A 22,568-nucleotide genomic window follows, 5' to 3' on the forward strand; every position below is an offset into this window, starting at 1 on the left:
TATTGGTAAAGGGAACAATTCAATGAGAAGAGCTAACTATTCTACATATATATGCACCCAATACTGGAGCACCCAGATTCATAAAACAAGTACTTAGAGACTTACAAAGAAACTTGTACTCCCACACAATAATAGTGGAAGACTTTAACACTCCGCTGTCAATATTAGACAGATCAACGAGGCAGAAAATTAAAAGGATATTCAGTACTTGAACTCGGCTCTGGATCATGTGGACCTAATAGACATCTGCAGAATTCTCCAACCCAAATCAGTAGAATATGCACTCTTCTCAGTGCCATGTGGCACTTATTCTAAAATCGACCACATAATTTGAAGTAAAACACTCCTCAGCAAATGCAAAAAACTGAAACTATAGCAAACAGTCTCTCAGACCACAGTGCAATCAAATTAGAATTCAGGATTAAGAAACTCACTCGAAATCACACAATTACATGGAAATTGAACAATCTGCTCCTGAATGACTCCTGGGTAAATAATGAAATTAAAGCAGAAATCAAATTCTTTGAAACCAATGAGGACAAAAAGACAACATACCAGAATCTCTGGAACACAGCTAAAGTAGCATTAAGAGGGAAATTTATAGCACTAAATGCTACATCAGAAAGCTTGAAAGATCTCAAATTGACACCCTAACATCACAACTAAAGAATGAGAGAAGCAAGAGCAAACTAATCCAAAAGTTAGCATAAGACAAGAAATAACTAAGATCAGAGCAGAATTGAAGGAGATAGAGACATGAAAAACCCTCCAAAAAATCAATGAATCCAGGAGTTGATTCTTTGAAAAAAATTAACAAAACAGATAGACTGCTAGCTGCACTAATAAACAAGAAAAGAGAGAAGAATCAAATAGATGCAATAAAAGATGATAAAGGTGATATCACCACTGACCCCACAGAAATACAAACTACCATCAGAGCATACTATAAAACCTCTATGCAAATAAACTAGAAAATCTAGAAGAAATGGATAAATTCTTGGACACATACACCCTCCCAAGACTAAACCAGGAAGAAGTCAAATCCTTGAAAAGACCAATAACAAGTTCTGAAATTGAAGCAATAATTAATACCCTACCAACCAAAAAAAGCCCAGGACCAGATGGATTCACTGCCAAATTCTACCAGAAGTACAAAGAGGAGCTGGTATCATTCCTTCTGAAATTATTCCAAACAATTGAAGAGGAGGGACTCCTCCCGAACTCATTTTAGGAGGCAGCATCATCCTGATACCAAAACTGGGAAGAGACACAACAGAAAAAGAAACTTCAGGCCAATATCCTTGTTGAACATTGATGCAAAAATCCTCAATAAAATACTGGCCAACTGAATCCAGCAGCACATCAAAAAACTTATCCACCACGATCAAGTTGGCTTCATCCCTGGGATGCAAGGCTGGTTCAACATGCACAAATCAATAAATATAATTCATCACATAAACAGAACCAAAGACAAAAACCACATGATTATCTCAATAGATTGAGAAAAGGGCTTCAATAAAATTCAACATCTCTTCATGTTAAAAACTCTCAATAAACTAGGTATAGATAAAATATACCTCAAAATGATAAGAACTATTCATGACAAAGCCACAGCGAATATCGTATTGAATGGGCAAAAGCTGGAAACATTCCCTTTGAAAATCAGTACAAGACAAGGATGCCCTCTCTCACCACTCCTATTCAACATGCTATTGGAAGTTCTAGCCAGGGCAATCAGGCAAGAGGAAGAAATACAGGGAAGAGAGGAAGTCATACTATATTTGCAGATGACATAATTTTATATTTAGAAAACCCCATCATCTCAGCCCCAAAACTCCTTAAACTGATAAGCAAATTCAGCAAAGTCTCAGGATACAAAATCGATGTGCAAAAACCATAAGCATTTATTTACACCAACAATAGACAAACAGAGCCAAATCATGAATGAACCTCATTCACAATTGCTACAGAGAATAAAATACCTAGGAATACAGCTAAGAAGGGATGTGGAGGACCTTTTCAAGGAGAACTACAAACCACTGCTCAAGGAAATAAGAGAAGACACAAACAAAGGGAAAAACATTCCATTATATGGATAAGAAGAATCAATATCATGAAAATGGGCATATGTATGCCCAAAGTAATTTATAGATTTAATGCTATTTCCATCAAACTACCATTGACATTCTTCACAGAATTAGAAAAAATTACTTTAAATTTTGTATGGAATCAAAGAAGACCCTATATAGCCAAGACAATCCTAAGCAAAAAGAACAAAGCTGGAGCAACACAATACCTGACTTCAAACTATACTACAAGGCTACCATAACCAAACAGCATGGTATTGGTACCAAAGCAGACATATAGACCAATGGAACAGAATAGAGACCTCAGAAATAACACTACACATCTACAACCATCTGATCTTCAACAAACCTCACCAAAACCCAAGCAATGGGGAAAGGATCTCCTGTTCAATAAATGGTGTTGGGAAAACTGGCTATCCATATGCAGAAAACTGAAACTGTACCCCTTCCTTACCTTATACAAAAATTAACTCAAGATGGATTAAAGACTTAAATGTAAAACCCAAAAGCATAAAAACCCTTAAAAAAACTTAGAGTTTCTTCTAGTTTTAGAAGAAAACTTAGGCAATACCATTCAGGACATAGGCATGGGCAAATACTTCATGATTAAAGTGCCAAAAGCAATTGCAACAAAAACCAAAACTCACACATGGGATTTAATTAAACTAAAGAGCTTCTGCACAGCAAAAGTAACTATCATCAGAGTGAACAGGCAACCTACAGAATGGGAGAAAATGTTTGCAATCTACCCATCTGACAAAGGTCTAATATCCAGAATTTATGAGGAACTTAAACAAATTTACAAAAAAAAAAAAGCAACCCCATCAAAAAGTGGGCAAAGGATATGAACAGACACTTCTCAAAAGAAAACATTTATGTGGCCAACAGACATATGAAAAAAAACTCAACATCACTGATCATCAGAGAAATGCAAATCAAAACCACAATGAGATACCACTTCACATTGCTCAGAATGGCGATTATTAAAAAGTCAAGAAACAATAGATGCTGGTGAGGCTGTGGAGAAACAGGAACGCTTTTACACTATTGATGGGAATGTAAATTAGTTCAACCATTGTGGAAGACAGTATGGCGATTCTTCAAGAATCTAGAATCAGAAATACCATTTGACCCAGCAATACCATTACTGGATATATACCCAAAGGAATATAAATCATTCCACTACAAAGACACATGCACACGTATGTTTATTGCAGCACTATTTATAATAGTAAAAACATGGAACTAACCCAAATGCCCATGAATGATAGACTGAATAAAGAAAATGTGGTACATATACACCATGGAATACTATGCAGCCATAAAAAGGAATGAGATCATGTTCTTTGCAGGGGCATGAATGAAGCTGGAAGACATTATCCTCGGCAAACTAACACAGGAACAGAAAACCAAACACCACAATTTCTCACTCATAAGAGGGAGCTGAATGATGAGAACACATGGACACAGAGAGGAGAACAAACACACCAGGGTCTGCTATGGGGTAGGGGCTGAGGGGAGGGAACTTAGAGGATGGGTCAATAGGTGCAGCAAACCATCATGGCACACGTATACCCATGTAACAAACCTGCACGTTCTGCACATGTATGGTGTTTTGTTGTCTTTCTTTTTTTAGAAGAAATAAAGAAAAACAACAACAACAACAAAGAAACATAATGAATTCAAATCTTACCTCTGCTGTTTTCAAGCTGTGGGACCTGAAGCAATTGCTTCAGCCCTCTGTGTCTTGGTTTCAAGATTTATTTAAAAATCATAGAATGGTAATTAGGACACAGGGGTTGTGGTTCAGAGATTGTATGATGACATGTTAAGAGCACAGGCCCTGAAGACAGGCAATGAAGGAGTTCACATATTGGCTAGTCTAATTCATATCTGTGAATTTGAGCAGGTTACTTAATCTCTTTGGAATAAACAAGGATAAAAATTATATTTACCTTGTGGGTCACCGTGAAGACTAAATGAAATAATATATCTCACATCCTTGACTAAGCACTGGGCTCCTGGGAAGAGCTCAATGAAGGCTAGTTATATGAAGCACTGGGTAAATGCTTAATAAATAAATGGCAAATAATGTAAGTGGGGGAAAAAAGGAATTTGGGCAAATTGTAGTCACACAATGTAATGTGACTGAAACAGCACACGTCTCCTCCCAAGAATGCTCTCTGAACCCAGTGAATTTCCACTGCTGGGGGAGAAGAAGGGATGGCAGGCTAGATTAGGATAATTGTTTTTCTTGGAAACTAAAGAATCAAAGTTTGCCTCGGGCACCTCTATTACCGCAACTTCAGTCCAATCCCCAAATCCCACTGATACAATGAATGAAACTTAAAAGCTGCAAAGAAGAGAAGGAAGAATTGAGGAGAGAAGCCAAAAGCCTTTAGGCTTCAGTTTGATCCTCCCCTGCCATCTCCCCGCCCTGTCTTTACCCCAAGCTTCTGCAAGCTTCCTCTTTCTTTGGGGGAAAATAGTCTTTCTCCCTTCAGTTTGCTGTAGCAACATTTTCTTTTTTCTTTTCTTTTCATTTTTCTTTTAAGTGCAGGGGAAACATAAGCATGCTAAGTACTAAGAGGGAGACTCCAGAGGAACAAGAGGGCAGGGCCCTTGGTCTTGGATTACAAATGAAAAGGATGCAGGTCTCTCTCAAGTCCCTTACCACATCAGTGCAACTGCCTGTTTCCCTGTATGTGGTTTCACCAGGCAGAGAGGAATCATAGGCTCAATATTAAGATCATAAAGCAGTCAGCTTTGGAAGTAAGCCAAGTCCTACCAATAACTTTAGATTTAATCTGTTAGAACCTCAGTTTCAACATCAGTAAAATAGGATAAGATGCATAAAATACATGCCCAAGAAATCATTCCTTCTCCACGTCCTTCCCCTTTTCATCTTCACTTTCTTTTACCTCTCCTTTACATTTCCTGCATCTTTCTTCTTGTTATTTTTCTTGTCATTTTAAATTATCATTCTTTTATTCCTCTTTCATTCTCTATCTCTGTTGCTCAAAGTCAGGAGCCATGTTTCTTTACTGCTCTCTGCTTCCCCTAAGACCTTGTATGTAGGGGCTCAATGTATATTTATATGATAAGGAAAAAAGAACTCTTAACAATCCTTTATTTGTATATTAAAAAGCACCATCATATCTTGTATTCTTACTAATGGGTACTAACTAGTATAATGCAAATACTTCTCAGTAAATAATTAAAGAAGCATTAAAAATCCTAGAACGTTAGTACCAGAAAACCCACTGAGTGCCTTTAGCTCTGAATTTACAGAAAACACAATGAAGGCTAAGAGAGGAATAGGGATTGATCCACAGTTGTCTTGGAGGCAGGGACAGAGTGACCTATCTTGCTCCTCATCCATATCTCTATTTCTACAGCACTGCACCACCCTCTATGCAGGCAGGTCACTTGACTAATCCATTCATTCAATGAAAAATGTGTAATAGCATTTACAATGCGTCAGGTATGTATGGTGCTAGACATCACACATGACTAGTTTGTTGGTTTTAAATTTTGATGTTGTTTGGTTTCCTTTACTTTTTCTGTTATTTGCTTGCTTGGCTGTTATTGTTGAATAAGAAAAGAGAGTAAATAGGTTTTATAAAATGTAGCTAACTGTAACATATGCTTTTTTGTCACTTTTTTCTTATTTTGTTTTATTTGTAAAAATACACCAGATTTATATCCTCACAGAACAAACTTACAGCCTAACAGGGGAGACTGAATTAAAACACACACACACACCACTCTACTTGGTATGTTGATGGGTGGCCCCATCAACATACATAAATAGATATTCAGTTTTAAATTATAATATGTAATTTGAAGGAAAACTGTAGTATGCTATGAGGGAGGGGAAAAAAGTGAACACTATTGAACTGGGGTATTGAGGAATGCATCTTTAAGGAAATTCCTTTCAAGAGGAAGCCTAAGGATTAAAGAATATACTTATGAGTAAATTCTGCTAGTTCTCCATCCCATTTCTTATGTGGTTGGCCCACCTACAATAGCCTCCCTTACCTCCTTACTTCATCAAAGACGTACACATTCTTCAAGGCACAGGACAAGTGCCATTGATTCTGCAAGTCCTTATCTACCCTAGCCCTGCCCTTTCTAAAAAAAAAAAAAAAAAGATTAAAGTTTCCCTATAAGAATAAATTTTAGTCATTTCCATTCGTAGTCAGCAAACACTTTCTTAAAGACAGTTGACTCCATTTATGATGACAAATCCACCAGTCTTCTCTATATTTAGGTGAGATCGTTCTATGTTTACCTGGCTAACATTTTCTGAGATGTATTGGATTGGTATGAGTTAAGGCCTGGTCTGAAAAGTTCCATAAACTACCTACTACCTCGTTGCATCAGATGTATATGCCACTAGTTATTATATATTAGAACAATAATATTTGCTAAAGCCATGTGAAATCTTAAGAGATTAAAAGTTACAGAATGGAAAGAAAAGAAGGATGAATTTAAAGATGGAAAGAATGAATTTGGATTCTACTTCCATTTCTTAATGAATATTAATAACAATAGTAATAACAGCAACAAAAACAAGAATAAGCTCCAGGCTTTATGGAGCTCTTAATATCTTCTAGGCATTGTGCTAGGAACTTTGTGTACATTACCACATTTATTTCTTACAGAAATCCTATTACGTAGAAATCATTAGTTTTACAGGTGAGGAAACAGAGGCTTGAGGTACATAATTTTCCCAAGGTAATACACTTCATTAGTAATGAATGCAAGGTTCAAGCTAGGTGGTTTAATTCCAGAGCTCACACTACATACTCACCTGCAAGTGCAGAGTAATCATAATAACTCATTTAGCCAGGTTGCATTAATTTTTATATTCTAAAATAATTAGTGGGGATGGCATAATCAATGACTTCTAAAGTACCTCTCTTTTAAAAAGGGTATTATTTCACTGCCAGGGAAGATGAAGAAAGGCTTCTTGGAAGAGGTGTGTGAAGACCTGGAGTTAGAGAAATTCTCAATCTCCTTTACTCCTTTCACTGCATCTCAAACTCCCATCCTGAAATTCTTTGATTGTTTATAGAAGATATTCCCAAAGGGGCAGCTCCATACTCTGCCTTGCAGATTGCAAAGAGAGATAAATAACACATTCCTCATTCTCTTACTCGCAGGGGAAATTGGGGGCTGTGTTTACATCGCTTCCTTGGTATTTATCCTCCTGCTGGCTGTTCCATCCCCTCTATTTCATGTTGTTATTTTACTTCCATTAGGGGAGTAGAAAAAATATTAGAAACCATTCTGATCCACCCCAATCCTCAGAGGGCACTGCTCGGTCAAAGTCAGCCTCCTCTCCCTTGTAATTTTCCCTACAAACATCTCATTCAAGAGGCATTTTCCTTCCTCTGAATACTAATGTCCTGATGGTGATTGAAATAAATAAATATTTCACACACATACATAGACACACATCAAAACAAAACAGAAGGAAAAAGAGAGAAAGAAAATATTGCTTGATTTTGCTTGAAAATCTTGCATGCTTGATTCATTTCATGTTTATATCCTTCTGGATTTCCTTCCTGGGCTCCTGGGAATTGCCTAGTCAGCAGTTAGGAAGGACTACTGGGTTACTACTGTTTTAAATGTGGCATGCCTGTCGTCTGTGGCTTTTCCTCTTTAGGAGAGAGCTAGGCTTTATTAAGAAACCTTCTAAACATGTGATTCTTCATTCTTTATCCACCAAAAACAAACAAACAAAAAACAAAACAAACAAACAAAAAAACAACCTGTGGTTGGTCAAACAAATTTTGAACACCCGAGTCCTTATGGGGTTAAAGTTTCTTTACCCTGGCTTTTCAATGAAGGAAAAATATATACTGAATATCTAGTCATATGCCAAAGCATGCTCCCTATGTTTTTCCATTTAATCTTAAAAAAAGAAAGACACTGACAATAATAAGTGTCCTAATTTCATAAATGAAGAAACTGAGAGTGAGCATAAATGTAATTTAAATTGGAGATTCTAAGGAATCTTCGTAGCACATTATTATAGATTTACTTCCGTATTGCTTCTCAGTCTTTTGGCTAAGATCAAGTGTAGAATCTGTTCTTATCAGATTTACTTCCCTATGAAAATCTTTAAGAGGCAATGTGGTGCAACTCACTTCACTAGATTTTAGAATAGTAGACTTAAGTCTTTTACCAACTGCCTGACCTTGAGAAAAAAATATGAACCTCTCTGAATCTTACTTTCCTCCCCTTTGTAGAGGTGCAAAATTTGAATACAGAAATGGGAGACAGTACTTACTAATTCTGCATCTTAGGTCAGCTTTCTCCAAAGTAGTGTCTGAAATGATATATCACGCACATGGTATTTATTAAGAACATGCTGTCAGGAAAGATCAATAAGGTAAAAGTGGGAGGGATGGAACAAAACCAAGCAAGGGCATGATTTTGGGTGAACCCTCACTATCAGCCTGATGCTGAGGAAACTCTAGAGCATGTTGTTCCTCAGAGTATGTCCTAACTCAAGGCAAGGTTGTATAATAATCAAAGTGGGGCTATTTAGCATTATCCCAAATATTTATAATTTTTTGTTATAAGAAATTTCAAAATTCCCTCCTCTAGCTATTTTGAGATATAGAATACAACACTGTTAACCATAGTCACCCTACTGGGCAATAGAAGACCGGAACTTATTCCTCTTATTTAACCATAACTTTGTATTCATTAACTAATCTCTCCCCATCCCACTCGCCTCTTCACTCTCCAGCCTCTGGTGACCACAGTTCTTTCTATTTCTATAAGATCAATGTTTTTAGATTCCACATGTGTGTGAGATCATGTGGTTTTTGTCTTTTTGTGCTTTTGTGCCTGGTTTATTTCACCTACCATAATATCCTCCAACTTCACTCATGTTGCCATAAATGACAGGATTTCATTCTTTTTAACATCTGAATAGTATTCCATTGTGTATATCCACACATTTTCTTTATACATTTTATACATTCATCTGTTGATGGATACTTAGGTTGATTCTATGTCTCGGGTATTGCTATAATAAACATGGGAGTGCAGATATCTCTTCAACATACTTATTTCATTTCCTTTGGATGTGTAATATCCAGTTGTGCAATTGTTGGATCATATGGTAACTTAGTTTTTAATTTTGTGGAAACTTTTCATACTGTTTTCCATAATGATTCTACAAACGTACAACCTCACCAACAGTGCATGAGTTTCTCTTTTTTAGCCATGCATGGTGGTGTGTGCCTGCAGTCTCAGCTACTCAGGAGGTTAATGAAGGAGGATCCCCTTGAGCCTAAGAGTTCTAGGTTGCAGTTAGCCATGATCAGGCCACTGTACTCCAGCCTGGGCAACAGAGCAAGATTCTATCTCTAAAAGTAAAAATAATAATAATATATTTTTTAAAAAGTTGCCCTCTCTCTACATCCACACCAGCATTTGTGGATTTGTTTTGTTTTGTTTTGATAATAGGCATTCTCGAAATGGGGTGAAGTGATATCTCATTGTGGTTTTGGTTTGCATTTCCTTGATGATTAGTGATATCACACATGTTTTCATATAGCTGTTAGCCATCTGTATGTCTTCTTTTGAGAAATGTCTATTCAAGTATTTTGTCCATTTTTAGATTTGGTTATTTTTTTTTTTTTGCTATTGAGTTGTTTGAGTTTCTTATATATTCTCGATATTAGTCCTTTGTCAGATAGATGGTGGGCAAATTTTTCTATCATTATATAAGTTGCCTCTTTCGTCTGCTGATTGTTTGCTGTGCAGAAGCTTTTTAGCTTGATGTAATTCCATTTGTCTATTTTTGCTTTTGTTTGTTTGTGCTTTCAAGTTCTTATTCAAAAAAATTTTTGCTGAAGCCAATGTCATGAAATGTTTCCCCTATGTTTTTTCTGGTAGTTTTATCATTTTGGGTCTTACATTCAAGTCTTTAACCCATTTTGAGTTGATTTTTGTATTTGGTGAGAGATAGGGGTCTAGTTTTCATTTTTCTGCATATGAAGAAAACTGGATATCCAGTTTTGCCAGCATTATTTATTGAAGAGACTCTGTTCTTGACATCTTTGTTGAAAATCAATTTGCTGTCAGTGCATGGATTTATTTCTGTGTTCTGTATTCTGTTTCACTGTTCTGTTTTTAAGGCCAGTACCACACCATTTTGGTTACTATAGCTTTGTAGTATACTGAAAGTTAGGTAGTGTGATGTTTCCAGCTTTGCTATTTTTGCTCAGAATTGCTTTGGTGAATTGTATATTTAAAACAAGTAAACTTTATGGCATGTTAATTATATCTCAGTAAAATTTTTACAAATTGCTAGTGAAATATCTGGAATGTCTAATACAGGCAAATTATAATCTTCTCCGGATGATCATGTCTTCATCTCAGGTCTCACTGGGTTCTTCTAGATAAAACCTCACTGAAGATGAGCTCACAATTTTTAGTTACAAAGCACACAACAAAATAATTCAACATGAGTAACAGCAGAAATACTAAACAGAAGGGTTAAGTCCCCCAATTTTTATTCTGTCTTTATCAGTTACTTAACATCTCTGAGCCAGTTTTGTCCTCTGTATCAATGGGGACAATAATAGTACCTAGCCTATAGGGTTTATTGTAAAGATTCAATGAACAACAGTGATTTAAGCATTAAAAATGGTGCTTGAAACAGAGAAATGCATGCTGTATAAATACTAAGTATAATTAGCTGTCAACAACAAAAAAGGAAAAATAAAAGCAGCTGAATTGAAAAACTGGAAACTGATATATAAACATATAAAAATAATTCACAGGTGAAACAACCACAGTCAATACACGTCAATGGGTGTTTGACTTCACACGGGAACCAATACATGTGCCTTACATTTTACAAGATGTGTTATTTTTATCCTATTAAATTGGCATAGATTGAAATATTTTTTTGTGTATTACCCAGAGGTTGGCATAAAAGTATAAGAATGGGCTTTGCAACAAACACTTGGAGAAAATGTAAATTGGAACAAACCCTTCTAATGTGTATTTATTTAGGCAAGTTTATGAAAAACTATTTTATATTATGAAATATTTCATTATATATTTTAAGAGCCAAGGGCAAGTGAAATTAGCTTATTTTAATGGAAAATTATACAGAACACATAAGAGATATTCTCATAAAAAGGAGATAACACAGCATACCATAGACTAGGGTATGATCTCCAAGGCTCCAAGCTGCACACAGGGACAGGTTGCTGTGAACAATATGGTTGCTCAGAAATGCAAGTTTGAGTTTATTCCACCTTTAATTGAAGCTGTAGATCTTTGAGTGTTCTGGCTTAATGCAGAAGTATAAATCTCAGCCCTCACCCTGAGCATGCACAGATTCTCCTCTCCTGACTCCACTGGAGCTTGAACCCCAATTTTTCCAGCATGAAGACCCCAAACAACAGCCCCCAACATTTTCCCCCACCTTGACCCTGCCCTCCTAGGGCAGCTGCAGCATCCACTTTTTTGCTCATTATCTAGATCTCAGTTCCTTTTATCACTTTTGCTGCATGAGATTTGAAAAGCATGTTGGTCATCTTAAAATCAGATGTTTGTTTTTGCCATAGAATAGGAAATTGAAAAGCTCCACTGCTACACATCACTTAGAAACCCTAGACACAATAAGAGGTCCTATGAAACAAACAACTGAATTCACAACCCTCTTATATCTAGGGTTAGTAAGTGTTGTGTAGCAGTGAAGCTTTTCCATGCTATCCTATGGTAAAAAAACAAACATCTGATTTCAAAGTGACCAACACACTTTTCAAATCTCATGGTCCTATAACTCCAGGATAAAAACCTAAAATTACTCATAATGAAAAGCCTATTTGAATGTATGAAAACATGAGAAAACAAAGGATTGTTGCATTTGGTCAGGCACTGGAATACTCCAGGTTTTTACCTCTTTCTAAAGCTGTCTATAGAGTCTTCCTCTGTGCTGTCTTAGGCCCCACATGCACATACCTGTATGACTTATCACATTGTTTGACATTGTCAGTTTAGAAGTCTGTTATCCCCAGATTGTGTCCTCTCTAGAAGCTAGAATGTTTTCTCCCATAACTGTGTCCCATTGCCTAGAACTATATCTGCCACAAGTGTATATATGTTCTCTGTGCATGCTTGCTGAAAAAAATTAATGAATTTCTTTTTACAAAATTTTCTGATGGGTTGGTAGGAGAAAAGGTCATAGATGCAACCCTTTGGATCAACTGGAATAAATGATGCATTTTTTATTTCACAAATATTAATTGAACACCTAATACAACTGTAACTGCTTTTTAGGTACTAAAAGATAAGTACACTTATTTTAATGAAATAGTTCTTTTTGTCAGAAATTTCATTTAAATGTCATATCAGTATATATATGTATATGTCTTCCTTATAAATAAAATTTATATTCCATATCAGTATATATATATATATCTTCCTTACAAATAATTAAAATGTAAACTCCATATTAGTATGTGTGTGTGTGTGTGTGTGTGTGTGTGTGTGTGTATATATATATATATATATCTTCCTTATAAATAATTAACATGTTTTATATATGATCTGAAGACAAACACTTCAGTGTAGTAGCAGAAACACCTGCTGGAGAAACCAGCCTGGGTTAGATATTTTCTAAATATGTGACCTTCAGCAAGTTACTTTCCTTTACCAAGTATCAATTTTCTTTCACATGCTTTGCAGAGTAGTTATGAGCATTATAAATAACATCAATAAAATACCTGGCCCATAGTAGGTGCTCAATAAATCATAGCTGTCACTATTACATCATGAGAATAATTTTCCAATGTGAGGGTTAACTCCCTTGTTGAATCTGTTTTCCAGGTTCAGGGCCTAGACATTTGTTTTTGTTAAAATAGGGCACACTGTGACTTCCTGTTACTGGTTCTAATCCCACGAAACGCATCCGTGATGAATAATTATGCCAGTTAGGACAAGACAAGATTGAGCTCACACATTTTTTTAGAGATCAAGTAAATATAAAGCACACCAACTTTACTGGCATTTCCAAATCAGAGCCGGCAGTGGAAATATAGATAATGTTGATGCCTTGAAATTCCCTAAAAAACAAACTTGATATGACAAAAAGTCTATTACATTGGCTTCTGAGAAAACCTCACGATGTCCAGACAGGCCCTTAGGACATCAAGGGCTAAAGCATCTCACTGCCTCCTGTCTCTAAGCAGATAGTGTCTCACAGGGATATTTTACTGCATTACCACATTACTCTCATCTGGTGCCAAGCATGTGCTGGAAAAGCCAACAGGAAATGAAAGCTAGCTAATTTGTAAAATTTTCTCATGACTTTTATTTCTCAATGTATGCTTTCATCGATCTCGCAGAGTTCTTGGGGCTGGAATGGAGAACAATGACTTCAGGCAATGTGTGGTCTGCCCTTGGCAGTGGCCTTTCCTTTGGCTTTTCCTGGTCAAAATGGTTCAGACTCCCTTGAGTGAGCAGCACAGCCACAGAAGAATCCCATCTCTTTTCTGCCTATTTATTTGGAGAAAGGCATGGAAAGATGTGCGGGGAGAATATCAGACTCAGAGTTCTACCACATATGAGTTTAGAAGTCTTGAGCAAATCATTTTATATTCCCAGGCCTTCATTTGTATTTATAAAATAGGGTCAATATCTAGTTTATGGGATTGAAAATCAGAATCCTTTGATACAATATTTGCAAAAATCATTTATAAGTGTTAAATCCCTGTACCCATGGTGGGGACTTGTTTATCTGGCCATTGCTGTCACTAGGGAGATGAAACACCCTTCATCTCTCAGGCTAATGTCATTCCTAACACTGGCTTGTCTACAGTGTAGGCAACAGGCTAGAAATAAGACTGTGAAAAGGTCTTGTATTATGTTCTTCACATATATTTATCCTCACCAAACATCTGTAAGTATCTCAACATACTGAGTATTGAAAGATATTGTGATTTATCCACAATTGTGAAAGGCTCCTGAAAACCCTACTGCATCACATTAATTCACTATCTCAATCTGTGATGCTGGTATCTATTTAATTCTGCAAATCATTACAGAGGCACAGCACCTGTATCAGGCAAGGTTCTCCACCGAAAAAGAACTTCAGTCTTTGCCCTCAAGGCTTTCAAATGATTGGAAGACATCCCCTCTAAACACACACACACACACACACATCATGGAGGATAATCTGCATCACTGAAAGTCTACTGATTTAAATATTAATCACATCTAAAAAATACCAACACAGCAACATCTAGACTGGCATCAGACCAAAAAAATGGGCCCTATACTTAGCCAAATTGACATGTAAAATTAACCATCACAGCACCAAACACTGTACAGTATTTCCAAGTGGAAAGAACTGGGTAGTGGTTTGTAAACAAGAAGGCACGGGGTGCACATGATCGTGGTCTCCAATATCTAAATAGCAGTTGCGAAGCAGGGCTTACTTTTAGAGGTTGCTGAAGGCCCAACAAAGACTAAGAAATGCAGCTCCAGAGACAGCAAGGGCAAAATAAGAAAGAACGTTCTATCAGTTGATAGGTTCAAACTCATGTGTCAAATTCTAGCTGTATTATTTCAATGGAGGCTTCGAAATATAGCTGGGCTTTTGTGCCCAGTGAATGCTGCCCAGGGATGGTATGCTGCACAGACAGGATGGCTCAAGGTAGCACCTAAGTTCCCTCTAAAGAATGGGATTCTAAGATGTCAAAGAGATATTGTAAATCACCTACAGCAATTTTCAAATCCCACTTCCTTACTGTGTAACGTGCTTTTCTCTTAATGAGGCTGTAGAATATCTCCTTTCAAGAAGCAGGTATAAACATGCTTTTTCCTGTTGGAGACATTTGTTTTCAAAGGTGCTGATTCCTCTCTAAGACTCATTTTGGACTGATTGTTTTCTCATTATCATGTCAAAGCAAGACTGTAGAAAGTAAAAATTGGCATTATATTCTTGAATTAGTACCCTCTTTCTTTGGTATACTGAGCTTTTACTAGATAAGCTTGAAAACTGGAATTCAAATTGTTTTAATCACCCTTCAAATTATTGCACTCAACTCTACTAGAAAGAAATAAATAAGATTATTTACTCACATAGTTCAAGTTTCTCTAAATTTGATGACATGGTCCTGTTCTGTCCTTGACTCATTCTCTGATCTTAGGTAAGTTAACTTCTTCATGTCGCAGTTCCCCATCTGTAAAATGAATATATTTGTTCTATGGAATCACTCATTTTTTAGGTTATTTCTGACTCTTTATTTTCAGTGACGCTGACTTAAGTCATCTTTAGAAACCTTACAGAACTCTATTAAAGCATAGCATATGGAACTATTGATACATCCTTATGTTATATGAGATTTACCAATATTTTCTGCTTGTAAACAAAATCTGTTAGAATAATAAAGCTTCTCATACAAGTGTTGACCAATGCTGAATCCTGGCATCATAAAGAAATGCTGCTATTTTTCTATTATAAAAAGCACATTCAAAAAACCTGACATTTAAGGCCGGGCGCTGTGGCTCACGCCTATAATCCCAGCACTTTGGGAGGCCAAGGTGGGAGGATCACCTGAGGTCGGGAGTTCGAGACTAGCCTGACCAACATGGAGAAATCCCATCTCTACTAAAAATACAAAATTAGCTGGGCATAGTGGTGCATGCCTGTAATCCCAGCTACTCAGGAGGCTTAGGCAGGAGAATCGCTTGAACCCAGGAGATGGAGGTTGTGGTGAGCCAAGATCGTGCCATTGCACTCCAGCCTGGGCAACAAGAACAAAACTCTGTCTCAAAAAAAAAAAAACAAAAAACAAACAAAAAAAAACCTGACATTTTTTTCAACTACAAGGTATTCAGAGATACAATTGTGTTTACTGGGTACTGATCTGATTGGAAAAATAATTCCCAAATAGTCTCATTCAATGGCTTTAAATGTGTTCACTCTGTTATCCCATGCTGTTCATCTTTATTTATTTATTTTTAACATGTATGTCCCTTTGTGAGGTTCATGTATTCCTATTATTTTCTAGGTTTGAAATTCTTATTTCCAGGGTAGAATTACAAAGAAGGGAGCAATTGAAAACATCTGCTCTGCTTTCAAACACTGACAGGCACCTCCATCACACTCCTTTCTGCTGCTGGACAATTAGGTACAGCTACAGGCAGAATTGTTTTTACCTTTGACTGGGGTTCTCTTCTTGGCAGCGAATTAATGAAATGCACGGAATAAAAAGCTGTTTCTCGCCCACTGAATGGATGTAACTGTCACTCGCTCTGATAAGGAACATCTATCCCACGCAAGACAGAAGTGGCAGAAATCTTACTTAGTTGACTATTCTAATGACTCTGTTTGTTTTCCTAAAGCTCAGGCTGTTTGAGGCAGTGTAAATAATGGATTTTGTCTATGTTGCTACAGGGTGAGGAGAGGAGGGAAAGAAGAGCTGCTCCTACCATGAGTTTCTGAAGTGGATGAAGGCTGTAGATGCAGAGGAAATTATCCACATCACTGCAGATAGTCTCGATAGCAGCGCCAATGAAGTTACTGAGAGTTGTATTATTAAAAACACCTATCATTTGCTGAGCACTTACATTTAGAAGGTGCAATGAAAAGCAATTCAAACAGACTCGATCCTCATGAAGTCTTTCTGAGTTTGGTATTATTTTTCCTTCTTTTTTTCAGATGAAGAAACAGGCTGCAAGGCCAGAGCTATAATGTTAAAAAGGTGAAGACTCAGGATCCAAACTCAGGTGCAGGTGATACCAAAATCTGTGCTCCTAACTGCTACATGGTAGACAGACTTTAGAGGCAAACACACACTTAGGCTAGAAAGCAAATCTACAGCTAATGTGTCCTGAACTTTGGCCAAAATATTTCATCTCTCTCAAGGTCAATTTTCGCACACGTAAATATAGATAATCATAATTACCACAGAGTGGTTATTGGAATTAAATTCATAACACATTGAAATGCTGGTTGAAGTGCCTGATGTACAATAGGTTCTCAGAAAGTGGGTGTCAGTTCTCCTTTTTGGAGATATTCAAAGGGGACAGCTACTTGGTAGGTATTTTATTTGGCATTACTACCCCTTGTGGGAGAGAGGTGGATAAGAAGCCTTTCTAATGTCTCCCAGCCCAGAGCGTTCATGCCATCAATCATTTGTTCAGGATAACACAAACTTGCTGTCTGCCTCCTAACTCAGAGATCTTACTTCACTCTCAAAGGTATAAGAAACAGAGAAGGTATAAATTGTTGTTCAAACTTTTCTAATAAGATCATGAAACCTCAAATCTAAAAGCTTTACATTGTCAAATGTAAAGTCCCTTCAATGTCCACTTATAAGAACAAAAAAGAAACCCTTACTCTGAAAAATTAATGCACTGTTTGAATTTTTCCTTGGGAAAGGAGAGACATAGACCTGGTAAAGGGGGAGAGGAGACGTTAGGGCACAGGGGACTCTGGTCTGGTCCTGCAGCCTCTCCTTTTGTGACTCCACCTATTACAGGGGAAGAGACCGGAGTTACACCGAGTTACTGGCGGAAGTATCCGTCCAGGTCTGCAGCAACGTCAATTCTTGCCTCCTAAGAAGGAAGAATTCGACTGAGGGGCACAAAGCAGAAAGGGCGACTGAGTCAAGTTCCAGAGCAGGAATGAAAGTTTATTTTAAAATGCCTTAGAACAGGAACGAAATGAAGGTGTGCATGGAAAAGACCCACGCAGGCACATGAAGGTTAAAGAGAGAAGGTCAGTGCCCCGTTTAACTGTAATCTTGGGACTTTCCCAAGGGAAACTCACCTCTTTCCCATGATTCTTCCCTTAGGGTGGGCTGCCCGCCTGCACAGAGCCCTCCTTAGCTTTGGGAAGCAAGCATGCGCCATGTGTTAAAGGCGTTATTGGCATGCCCCTCCGAGGCTTTTTTCCTTTTTCCGGTGGCGTGTACCCGGAAGATCATACTTCGCCATTTTCCTCTTAATACGCATGCCCAGGAAGTTTCTTCTCCCTGGGCTCTGCGTTCATTTACCATTTTGATGTTAACAGGTGTGGACTATCAGGAAATGGCCTCTGCCTGACGCTGCTAAATCATCACTCTCAGAGAGGCAATGCGAGAATTGCCAAACCAGCACCTGACACTTCTAGTGCGTGGGGGAAGAGCCCTCTTCTGTCTGGCTCACGCCTACCTACCTACCTGTAACACATCCTAGATGCCTATCTGGACTTAGTGTTTTCATCTTTTAAATGAGCAAATTAACGTAATACTAGAGGATCACTGGAAACTTTACAATCCAGTGGGTTTGGTTCTCCCATCTACCTCTCTTTCTGTCCCTGCCCTTGGATCTCCTGTACTTCTTACGATATTGTGATGGCTTAATTTTATGTGTCAACTTGATTGGGCCATGCAATGCCCAGATATTTAGTCACACAATATTCTGGGTGTTTCCTTAAGAGTGCTTTTAGATGAGGTTAACATTTAAATTGTTAAACTGAGTAAAGCAGATGGCCCTCCCTAATGTGAATGGGCCTCACCAAATCAGTTGAAGGTCTGAGTAGAACAGAAAGGCTGACCCTCCCCCAGGTAAGAGAGGATTTTTCTTGCTTAATGGCCTTCAAACTGGGACATCAGCATTTTTCCTCTCCTCAGACCTAAACTGGGGTTCAAGTCTGCTGGCCTTAGGACTGAAACTCAACATCAGCCTGAGTCTCCAGGTTGTGAACTCACCCTGCAGACTTGCAAACCATGACACTTGCCGGCCTCCAAAATTACAGGTGTCAATTTCTTATGGTAAATCTCTTCATTTAAAAGCTCTCTCTCACACACAGACACACACACAAAGCTTATCTGTCCTAAAGAATCTTCACTGTGAAGCCTCATAAATTCAATTTAAGACAATAGTACAGTAGAAATGACTGACAAGTCATAATAAGTAACATTAGCAATATATAATTAAATATTTGCAAACATTCTTTATACTCACCTATTCTTTGATATTTCCATTTCCAACTAACCCCACTGAGCAGATTAATGCAATCCTACTTTCCAGATTAAAAAAGAAAAAAAGGAAGTTGAGAGTGATCCTTGGCCATATAGCAGAGATAGATTTCAAATTGCAATTGTCCTCAATACACAGGGACATACCTTTCTATTGCACCACAACGAATTTCTAACTGATACTTGCACTTAACAGAGACCTTTGAAAACTCACTTCAAAGCAATGAATAACCTAGCTGAGTCCAGTTAAGTAGCCTGACAGAGGAGAATAATGCCTATGGTCTATGGTTGCTTTGCAATGAAGATCTGTCCTTGGTACAGAACCTTTTTATAGGTGCAAAAATTGTAATCCTGATTATCCTGCTCAATAGAGATCAGAGTGGTAGAGCAGCAGTTGAAAATACAGCAGAATGAAATGCTTACCTTATCTTAGGCTCTGATGTCAGAATTTCTCTTCAGGATAAAATTATTTTTAAAAATAGAAAATACCTTAATAAACCCCTTGGGATGATTTAGTGAAGGGAAAGGTCCAAAGACAATTATTTCTGTGCAACAAAAAATGATCCCTCACTAGACTCTATTAAGTCAGGATGAATTTTTGTTTCCCTTCTGGAAGTAAGAGCTGGAGCTCAGCTTATGGGGAAGAGATTAGAGACAAGAGGCAGGAAGATCAAAATAGGTTGAGATGATGAGGTAGAAGCGACAGTGAAAACATTTTAGTGTCTGGACAACTGAAAATATTTTTGGCACACTGCAGACTAAGACTTGAGTAGTGAGGTTTTTGGGGATAAAGAGTTAAGATGTGGAACAAAAGGGAACACATAGATGCTGAAGTTAGGAGACAAAGATGATTTTGAGAACAAAAAAATTCCTAGCAACTAACAAAAATCTTGAAATCAGCTTTGGATCTGAGTATAAATCTGAAGGCTGAAATAAATATTGAAATCTCAAGATTCAGAAAGGCCCTGCCTATTGTCTGGGTTACAGTTCTACACAGGTGGGTGGAAAGATTCCAAGGTGAATTTGTCTCTTCTACTCCCCCTCTACATTTTTTACACTATAGGAAAATCAGAAAAGTAGCCTGTTAGCTAGATGGCAGCTTCCATGTAGCAATATCTACATGTCATAGATTGAAAGGGGATTAAACCCTTCCCACTGTGCCTAGCATTGTGAGATTTCATCCTTGAGAGCATCTAGCAGTGGGAATGATTTAAGATGACAGCACAGCTTACTGTTCTATCCTTCAAATCTTTCCCACGTCCATCCTGACCACTGTAACAGTGTGTCTGGTATATTGCATTCCACTGTGGTTGAAAGATGCATCCGGGGTCTGTAGTGTATCCCCCTTCCTCATGTTTCCATTACTCAGGGAACATTTTCGAAAGATGAGATCTGCTCAATTTTGGAATAGTTTCCAGAGGGATGTGGCAAAGTGCCGCATCATTTTATTTACTTAAAATTAGACCAGAGCGAGGAATCCCAGTGTCCCACTGTGAGCAGTTTTGTACCGGTGGGAGGATAGGGAAGAGAATCATGCCCATTTGCTGCTGGAATACAAGAGGGGCTCTTCATCATTACTTCATATGACTCCCCAATTCTGATAATTGCCATTTCAAATATTGGTCTTCTTATGGAGAACACAAATTATATTTTTTTCTAAGTTTCTTCCTTTCTGCTCCTACTTCTCACCTAGCATTATCATACTGTCTTCACTAATCTAAGTTCCAGTTGAATTGTAGAGCACTTAATGGAAAAACAATAACTTTACAAACTAATGTCCTGTTCCCCAAGTTCTAAGAAGCCAACTACAGATTGTATTTGTTAAAGATTTAAAATGTACCCTCATTGCAAATGGATGTATTTGTCAGCTTGGGCTGTCATAAAAAGTACTATAGACTGGGAGATTTAAACCATTGAAAATTTACTTTCTTACAGTTCTGGAGGCTGGAAGTCTAAGATCAGAGTGCCAGCATGGTCATGTTTAGGCAAGAACTCTCTTCCTGGCTTGCAGATGAACACCTTCTGACTATGTCTTCCCATAGCAGAGGGAGAAAGATCTGTTTCTCTTCTCAGAGGCTACTTTCTTGTTGGATTAGGGTTTCACCCTATGGCCTCATTTAACCTTAATTACCTCCTAAAGACCCTATCCCCAGATACAGTCACACTGAAAGTTAGGGCTTCAACATTTGATAGGGTGGGAAGGGCTGGGGAGGGCACACAATTCCATCTATAGCACTGAGATTTCCAATGCCTAAAACATTTAATTTTTCAATCCTCAGAGATGGATCTCAAAAAAGAAATCAAAACTGGCTCAGATTTCCCAAGGATTTCCATATCTATATACTAGAAGATAATTCAGACTTATGCATCTGAGAAGGGTAAGTTCAGTGATCTGGTTTGTTCTTTTCATGTGCCCATTTATGGATTGGAAAAAATTCAACCTTTGGGGAGAACAGATTGAGTTCTAATCCTGGTCATATTACTAATTTGATTTATGACCTCAGCTTTTTCCATCTGTAAAATGAATCCTTCTCTTTAGATTCCTTCCCACTCTGATAGTTCAGAAATCTGAGAACTATGGATTGGCATTAGTATTCATTTGGGCATAGACACTCTGATTATCAAAATTCAAAGAATGCTCCAATCCCCAAGGGTCTACATTTTTATTGGCCTCATGACCAAGACACTGGAACTGAGAGGACCTGAGTAGCACGTTGGAATCAGACTTTCAGGGCAGAGGTGGAAGACAGACAATACACCACAGTCTAGAAGTGACATTGGGGGCCAACAGGTAGAAAGATTCATGGGCCAAAAGGGGCAGTTCCTGGAGTGCTCTTCCTGCCTGCTGGTTTACATCTTGTGGGGTCACTGGGATAGAGGAGACAACAGAGTGATTTATAGTCTAGAAGTTTGGTGAAGGATAGAATAATAATAGTTGATGCTTAACTAACAGGTATTTTCTAAATGCTAGATATTTTATAAGTACTTTATTTTTATTATATTTAATATTAAATTCTGACCATAGAGCTTGAAGTAAGTACCATTTTTATCCGTACATTTCGGAAAAAGGAAAATAGCACTTTAAAGAAATTAAACAAGTTGTCCAAAATCACATAGCCAAGAGGAGCAGAGCTCAGATTCAGTTGACCTTTGATCTCCCAATTCCTATTCCACTCTGCCATACCAGGAAAACTGAGTCTCAGTAACGGGGCCCATGTTTTCTCCACTATGCGGTGTTCCAAGATAGCGGCAATTAATACGACTTTTTACCTCCAGCATTTATACCTTCTAAAAAATTCTTGAATGTAGAAAAACACAGAGTGATAGCAAACTCCAAATGAAGATTCTCAAATTCAATCAGAATAGGGGCATCTTCATGGAAGAAAAAAAGTGGAGAATGAGACCCAAAGACTAAGCATGAGTTATAAAAGTGTCTATGGGAGAACCACAGTGAAAGAAGAGAAGG

General features: G+C 37.7%; 2 long non-coding RNA genes and 1 pseudogene across 3 annotated transcripts in view; 2 read left to right on the forward strand and 1 right to left on the reverse strand.

Moving 5' to 3' along the window:
* Positions 1 to 8,145: 8,145 nt before the first annotated feature.
* LOC124902356 (uncharacterized) lies at positions 8,146 to 8,280 on the forward strand (annotated as a pseudogene).
* Positions 8,281 to 13,423: 5,143 nt separating this feature from the next.
* On the reverse strand, positions 13,424 to 17,993 carry LOC101928775 (uncharacterized). The gene is made up of 3 exons (NR_109805.1): positions 17,911 to 17,993; positions 15,216 to 15,316; positions 13,424 to 13,628 (listed from the first exon to the last, which is right to left on the reverse strand). It is a non-coding gene; the product is annotated as an uncharacterized LOC101928775 (long non-coding RNA).
* Positions 17,593 to 22,568, forward strand: part of LOC105376234 (uncharacterized) — an 83,492-nt gene continuing 78,516 nt past the window's right edge. For both annotated transcript variants that reach the window (XR_930269.2, XR_930268.2), the window contains exons 1-2: positions 17,593 to 17,859; positions 21,382 to 21,480. This is a non-coding gene — a long non-coding RNA (uncharacterized LOC105376234). The remainder of the gene's footprint in view (positions 17,860 to 21,381; positions 21,481 to 22,568) is intronic.

The sequence above is a fragment of the Homo sapiens genome, chromosome 9, assembly GCF_000001405.40.
Source record: "Homo sapiens chromosome 9, GRCh38.p14 Primary Assembly".
NCBI lineage: Eukaryota > Metazoa > Chordata > Mammalia > Primates > Hominidae > Homo > Homo sapiens.